The sequence below is a fragment of the Homo sapiens genome, chromosome 3, assembly GCF_000001405.40.
Source record: "Homo sapiens chromosome 3, GRCh38.p14 Primary Assembly".
Lineage (NCBI taxonomy): Eukaryota > Metazoa > Chordata > Mammalia > Primates > Hominidae > Homo > Homo sapiens.
In genome coordinates, this window is record NC_000003.12 from 51824229 (window position 1) to 51831553 (window position 7325).

The 7325-nt window shown below is 43.2% G+C and overlaps 1 protein-coding gene across 3 annotated transcripts; it reads left to right on the forward strand.

Moving 5' to 3' along the window:
• Positions 1-2654: 2654 nt before the first annotated feature.
• On the forward strand, positions 2655-6628 carry IQCF3 (IQ motif containing F3). Of its 3 annotated transcripts, none has more exons than NM_001085479.3 (7): positions 2655-3119; positions 3928-3993; positions 4418-4579; positions 5046-5078; positions 5195-5265; positions 5437-5484; positions 6175-6628. In NM_001085479.3, the coding sequence occupies exons 5-7, from the start codon at positions 5248-5250 to the stop codon at positions 6571-6573; spliced, it is 465 nt and encodes a 154-aa protein (NP_001078948.1). In that variant the 5' UTR covers positions 2655-3119; positions 3928-3993; positions 4418-4579; positions 5046-5078; positions 5195-5247; the 3' UTR covers positions 6574-6628. The 3 variants fall into 3 exon arrangements, with proteins under 3 accessions (NP_001078948.1, NP_001193952.1, NP_001380816.1); NM_001207023.2 differs by having other exon boundaries at positions 2655-3086; NM_001393887.1 differs by lacking the exons at positions 2655-3119; positions 3928-3993; positions 4418-4579; positions 5046-5078 and having other exon boundaries at positions 5198-5265.
• The last annotated feature ends 697 nt before the right edge of the window (positions 6629-7325 follow it).

Consider the following 7325-nt stretch of genomic DNA (forward strand, 5'->3'; position numbering starts at 1 on the left):
ATTATTGATTCAAAAATGGTTGCTTCAAACTCAGTAATTACATTCACAATCCAGCCAGCAACAAGGAAGAAAGAGCAAAAACAAGGCGTACTCCTTATCCTTGACATTGCACGTGCCACTTTGCCCACAGCTCAGAAGAACATAAAAGAAGACCTGAACAAAGGAGAGATATAGTATATTTATTGATAGAATTTCTTAGCATTGTAAAATTGTCACTTGTCTCCAACATAATCTAGTAAACTCACATTCCAATAAAATAAAATTAAGGTCAATTCTAATCGAAATCTCATCATGACTTACGGGAACTTGACAAACTAATGCAAAAAAAACATATTGCAGAATTAATTTCCACAGTTCATTAAATCAATTTTGAAAACAGAATAGAAAAGTGTTCACAGACACTAAAATGTGTTACAAAATGATTAGTGTGAAATTGAGGTACTGGCTACTAAGAATCTAAATAGGAAATAAACATTTATTTATGAAATTGTTGTGTTCACCCCATCCTCCTCCTTAACGCACAGAGCCAGGCAAGAGTTCTCTCCCCACCTTGGCAGAAGACAGGTTTATTTACTAGATAAGTTGAACCAGAGAGCATCTGAATGCAGGGAATGCAGGCATAGCTGGCGACAGTGGTGAAGCACCATACCAAAAACCAAGGGAGTATGTGAAAGTGTACAGGCTAAATAGAGAAGCCTCCAGCCCTCTCTGCCAAATCAGCTCCCCAAAGGCTTGCAGACAGGTTTCATTATCCTACTCTCTTACCCAAGGTTCTGGGATTTCTATCTGAGAAAACTGAGACAAAAACAAAAACAGAAGAGAAGGGCTTAAAAGAAATATTAGAGACAAGAGAAAAGGTTAAAAACCGCACACAAGCCAGGCACAGTGGCTCTTGCCTATAATCCCAGCACTTTGGGAGGCCGAGGTAGGCAAATCACTAAAGGTCAGGAGTTCAAGACCAGCCTGGCCAACATGGCGAAAACCCATCTCAACTAAAAATACAACAAATTAGCTGGGTGTGGTGGCAGGTGCCTGTAATCCCAGCTACTCGGGAGGCTGAGGCAGGAGGATCACTTGAGCCCAGGAGGAGGAAGTTGCAGTGAGCCGAGATCACACCACTGCACTCCAGCCTGGGTGACAGAGCAAGACTCTGTCTCAAACACACACACACACACACACACACACACACACACACACACACACCACTAACAGCTATCATTAGTATTCTTAGACCCATAAGAGATAATAACAAATCAATAAAACAAGCATAGTGTGCTATAAAAAAAGAATATTCAGAGGATGGGAATGACTCTTTAAAAGATATAGAAAATCTACCAGAAAGTAGATCAAAAAGTTTAAGATGGCAAACATAAATGGACAAGCCTCTTAAAGCCCAGCCCAGAACTTGCATACTGTCATTCTACACTATTCTATTGGCCAAAACAGGTCGTATAGTCAAACTCAACGCCAGGAAGACATATTCCATCACCTTACAGGGAGAAACTGACACAAAAAGATGGAATATAGTGTAGAAAATATTAGAAACTTCGAGGATCAATCTATGATTTGATTAATAGGATTTCTAAACATAGAAAGCTAAAAAAATTGAGGGGTAGAAATTATCAAAATAAAAAAAAGCAAATACAACAAAGTTTCCCAGTAAATGACATGAATTTTTAAATTAAAAGGCTAAACCACTGCCCAACACAATGAATGGTTAGAAAAACCAAAACACATCTCTAGGTATATCATCTTGTAGTTTCAGAACATCAGGGAAAGAGGAGATCCTAAAAGCTTCCAGAAAGAAAAAAAAAAATAGGTCACATTCCAGAGTGATAAAAGACATTGTATTTGTCGGTTCTTGCACTGCTATAAAGAAGTACCTTTAAAAAAAAAAAGAAATAACTGAGACTGGGTAATTTATAAAGAAAAGAGGTTTAATTGTCTCACAGTTCTGCAGGCTGTCCAGGAAGCATAGGGGCTTCTGAGGAGGCATTGGGAAACTTACAAACATTGCAGACGGTGAAGGGGAAGCAGGAACATCTTACATGAGCAGGAGGAAGAGAGAGGGAGAGGTGCCACACTTAAACGACCAGATCTCACAATAACTCACTCACTCACTACTGCCATGACAACACTAAAGGTGATGGTGTTATACCTTGAGAAACCACCCCCATGATCCAGTCACCTCCCACAAGGCCCCACCTCCAACACTGGGAATTACAATTCAACATGAGATTTGGGCAAGGACCCAGATCCAAACCTCTAACAGAAAGTAGAACAAATTCTGAGAGAAAAATAATTTTCGAGCCTGGGCAACATGGTGAAACTCCATCTCTGCAAAAAATTAGCCAGGTACAGTGCCATGTGCCTGTAGTCCCAGCTACTCCAGAGGCCAAGGTGGGAAAATTGGTTGAGTTCACTAAGCCTGGGAGGTCGAGGCTCCAGTGAGCTGTGCTTGTGTTCCTACACTCCAGCCTGGGTGACAGAGAGAGATCCTCTCTCAAAAAAGCAAAAGAAAAGGAAAAAAAAAAAGGAAAGGAACAAAAAGTAATTTTCTATCTAGAATGTAGTACCCTCTTTTCCCCAGATGCTTGCACAATCGCATATGTTCTAATTCCTATTATGAATTCCTTATCCCATAGCATCCAGAGTGGCTCTGCATCCCCAGTAAAACTGTGCCTGCAACACGTGGGATCCAGTAAGTAGGAGAGTCCTCACAGGGAAGAAGGGAAAGAAATTCCTAGGATGCTGGGGTGAGGGTACCCCAGAAGAATGACCAGGCAGCAGGCTTGAAGAGCAGCTACCCAGATTACACAGTGGTGCAGCGGTCCATGAAAAAAGCAGAGTTGACGGATTATCCAAGTTTTGGTGGAAAGTTTGGGATAAATTAGTACAAACCATGGCAATCAAGAGCTCCAGGAAAAACAGACAGGAAATGCATGAAAGGCTATGTCACAGCAATATGCCATGTTGCTAAGCCATGGACAGGATATAATCACAATGATGGAAGCCCTGAATGCTTATTGAACCAAAAACTGTGATGCTATAATCATATAGAGAGGAGAGCAGAAGGATGGGAACAGGTAAATCTTCACTTCATGAAAAGAAGTCAAGAGGTAATATCTAAAAGAGAAAATAATTTTCAATATAGCATGTTATAGAGGTAAATCATAGGAGAAATATACAGAAGAGTTAAAAATAGTTGTCTCAGTGATGGGAGATTCTTTTGGGAGAGAATAAGACAGGAAATGCATACTGTCCTTTTTTATTAATTACAATTTTTATAATTAATTTATAATTATGTTTATAATTTTTATAAATGCTAGATTATAATTATTCATAATTTTTATAATTAATTTATCATTGTAAGTTTTTTTAAACAAGGTACATGAAGTTCTTTTTTGTTGGTGGTTTTTAGTTTTGGTTTTGGTTTTTAACTTTTATTTTAGGTTCAGGGGTATATGTGTAGGTTTGTTATATAGATAAACTCGTGTCATAGGGGTTTGTTGTACAGATTATTTCATCACCCAGGTACTAAACCTAGTACTCAATAGTTACTTTTCTGCTCCTCTCCCTCCTCCCACCCTCCACCCTCAAATGGTCCCCAGTGTCTGTTGTTTCCCTTTGTGTCCATAATAATTCTCATTATTCAGTTCCCGCTTCTAAGTGAGAATATGTGGTACTTGGTTTCCTGTTCCTATGTTGGTTTACTAAGCCACTATGAGTCCTGGACAGCCTGCAGAACTGTGAGACAATTAAACCTCTTTTCTTTATAAATTACCCAGTCTCAGGTATTTTTTTTTCTTTTTTTAAAGGTATTTCTTTATAGCAGTGCAAGAACCGACTAATATAATGTCTTTTATCACTCTGATTCCTTTGTTTGTGGGATGTGACCTATTTTTTTTTCTTTCTGGAAACTTTTAGGATCTTCTTTTTCCTTGATGTTCTGAAGCTACAAGATGACTTCCAATACCATGTTGAATAGGAGTGGTGAGAGAGGCCATCCTTGTCTTGTGCCAGTTTTCAAGCGGAATGCTTTCAGCTTTTGTCTGTTCAGTATGATGTTGGCTGTGGGTTTGTCATATATGGCTCTTATTATTTTGAGGTTATGTCCCTTCAGTACCTAGTTTATTGAGAGTTTTTAACATGAAGAGATGTTGAATTTCATCAAAAGCTTTTCCTGAATCTATTAAGATAATCATGTGGTTTTTGTCTGTAATTCTGTTTATGTGATTAATCACATTTTATTGATTTGCATATGTTGAACCAACCTTGCATTCCAGGGATGAAGCCTACTTGATCGTGGTGGATTAGCTTTTTGATGAACTGCTGGATTCAGTTTGCAAGTACTTTGTTAAGGATTTTTGCATAAATGTTTGTCAAGGATATTGACCTAAAGTTTTGTTGTTGCCAGGTTTTGGTATCAGGATGATGCTGGCCTCATAGAATGAGCTGGGGAGGGGCCTTTCCTCCTCAATTTTTTGGAATAGTTTCAGTAGGAATGGGACCAGCTCTTCTTTGTTCATCTGATAGAATTCAGCTGTGGATCCTTCTTGTCCTGCGCTTTATTTTGTTGGTAAGCTATTTACTACTAATTCAATTTCAGAGCTCATTATTAGTCTGTTCAGGGAATCAATTTCTTCCTGCTTCAGTCTCGGGAGGGTGTATGTGTCCAGGAATTTATCCATCTCTTCTAGGTTTTCTAGTTTGTGTGCATAGTCTCTGATGGTTATTTTTATTTCTGTGGGGTCCGTGGTAACATCCCCTTTGTCATTTCTAATTGTAAATGTCTTATAAAAACATTTACATTAAATGTTAAAACACCTTAATGTAAAAGGTAGACCAGAATCTAATAGAAAAATCTATGATCCTGGATGGAAAAGCACTTTATTAGAAAACTACAAAAGCAGAATTGTAAAGGGGCAATGGATTTGAGCATATCAAAAATTAAAGATAACTGTGGAAGGAAAGGCAACCATGAAAAAAGTTAACAGGCAGATGACAATCTGAGAAATGATATTTGCACAATTTTTCCTCAACAGAGAGTTGCCCAAGGAAGTCAACAGGAGAGCCAGGTATTTTCTCTTTATCCATCAACTTTGAGCCTGGAAAAGGCACTGTGGCCCCTGGTCATAGTTGCCTTTGTGACATCACGGCCATCTCTTTCTCCACCTTTCCTGCCCCTGCCAAGATCAGGAAACAGCAACCAGAGGGAGATGATCACCTGAACCACTGCTCCAAACCATGGGCAGTAAATGCTGTGTAAGACTCAGGCACACAAACTCCCCCAGGGGTGGGAGTTGTCCCATGGCCCAGGAAAGCACCAGGCCACTTCTTAGGACCCAGGCAAAGAATGGGGAACTGGGCCTGTGGGGACTTTGCAGTCAGGCTGGTCCTCACCCATGCTCCCCCACACCCATATTCCGATTGCAGAAAGGTGGTCCAGATGAAGATGCAGTAGAAAGACAGAGGCGGCAGAAGGTAGGTGGGGCCCAGGAGGGTGAGAGAATTGCAGATCATTGACTCTTTGATCCCAGAGTTCTTAGAATGGAGATCCATCTCTGGCTCAGCATTGCCCTCTTATCCCCTCAAGCCCTCCCTCTCCTTGGTGAACTGAGTAAGGTATGGAGATAGACAGTAAAAGGGGAGGAAGTTTCGTGCGCACAGCCACCTGATAGGTGGGGCTCAGCACAGGAAGTGGAAAGGCCCAGGAGAATGAGGAGGGACTGAGACATGGTAGTGGAAGTCCACAAAAGTGAGATGAGGGGAGACCCCAAAGGGCTGCAGCACCACGCAAGACATTAGGAGGCAGCATCATGGCTGGAGTTTGGACCAAGACACAGGCCATAAATGCAGAGGTTCATGGATTCTTATAAGAATCCTTCAGTTCCTCACACCCTGGTCTTCCAGTTGGGTCTTCTGGACCAGAAAGTGTCTCCGCTAGTCCCATAAACCCGAGAAGTCCACAGATCAAACATATCCCGATTTCATAGATGAGGGCACTGGGACTGTGAGGGTGTCCAGAGCCATGAACAGGACAGAAGTAGAGGACAAACCCCACCCAGGTCTCCTGGGTCCTCAAAACCAGCAGGGAGAGGGCTGATTCTTTAGAGAACCACCTGTGCTTGATGGTGATAAATTCACTGGGAGTCCTCTGCTTTGCTTGGCCAGTTGCTTCTTGCACAACTGCATCACAGAAAAAGGGTGAAGGCAGCTGGGCAGATCCAGGCCTGGTGGCGTGGGGTCCTGGTGCGCAGGACCCTGCTGGTTGCTGCCCTCAGGGCCTGGATGATTCAGTGCTGGTGGAGGACGTTGGTGCAGAGACGGATCCGTCAGCGGCGGCAGGCCCTGTTGAGGGTCTACGTCATCCAGGAGCAGGCGACGGTCAAGCTCCAGTCCTGCATCCGCATGTGGCAGTGCCGGCAATGTTACCGCCAAATGTGCAATGCTCTCTGCTTGTTCCAGGTCCCAGAGAGCAGCCTTGCCTTCCAGACTGATGGCTTTTTACAGGTCCAATATGCAATCCCTTCAAAGCAGCCAGAGTTCCACATTGAAATCCTATCAATCTGAAAGGCCTGGGGCATGGAGAACAGGCTGCACTACCCTAATAAATGTCTGACCAGGTTGTGTGAGTCTCAGTGATTCCCCTCACCACAGGGACCCCTTGGATTCATACCCCACTCTTTCTCTGCTTCTCTACGTGGGGAAAGACTTCAGCGTAAGTACTTCCTCGTTCCCCTCTCCCTGCCCCAGCAGGGACTATGGCCCCTGTGAGGACTGACAGTGGCCATATGCTGCTGCCTTTACATGCAAATTAGAAATTGCAGCCCAAGGCTGTCCTCGTGTGCAGAGCCAGATGTCTCACTCCACAGCCCTGGCATCATTCCTGTCTCCTGAGCTTGGAATCAGAAGGGTATGGGCTTCACTTTCCTGAAGAATCTGGGCACTCTCTTGGAAGACAGTTGTGTCTGAGGCCATGCTCTTTCATTCAACCATCAGGAGCCAACTGGGGCTTGCACAGGTTGGGTTTCTATTTGCCAAGTCCCTGACAGAAGTCAGGCTGTCAGGCCCTTGGAGCACTCTCCTTGGAGCAGTGTTGTCCAGGGAAAGCACAGGAGGCTGTCCTTAGTGGCAACTGTGTGCAAGGTTTGTAAGCCTCATGCTAACGTGGAGGTTGATGGACAGGAATACCCCTTTTGGAAGCAGCTGATACCACGATCTTAAGGCACCTGAGCTCTGACTCCCTCCTGCCTCCTCAGCACCTGCTTCCCCAGGGCCCTGAACACAAACAGGGCTCCTACTGCCCTCACCTCCTCCCTGTG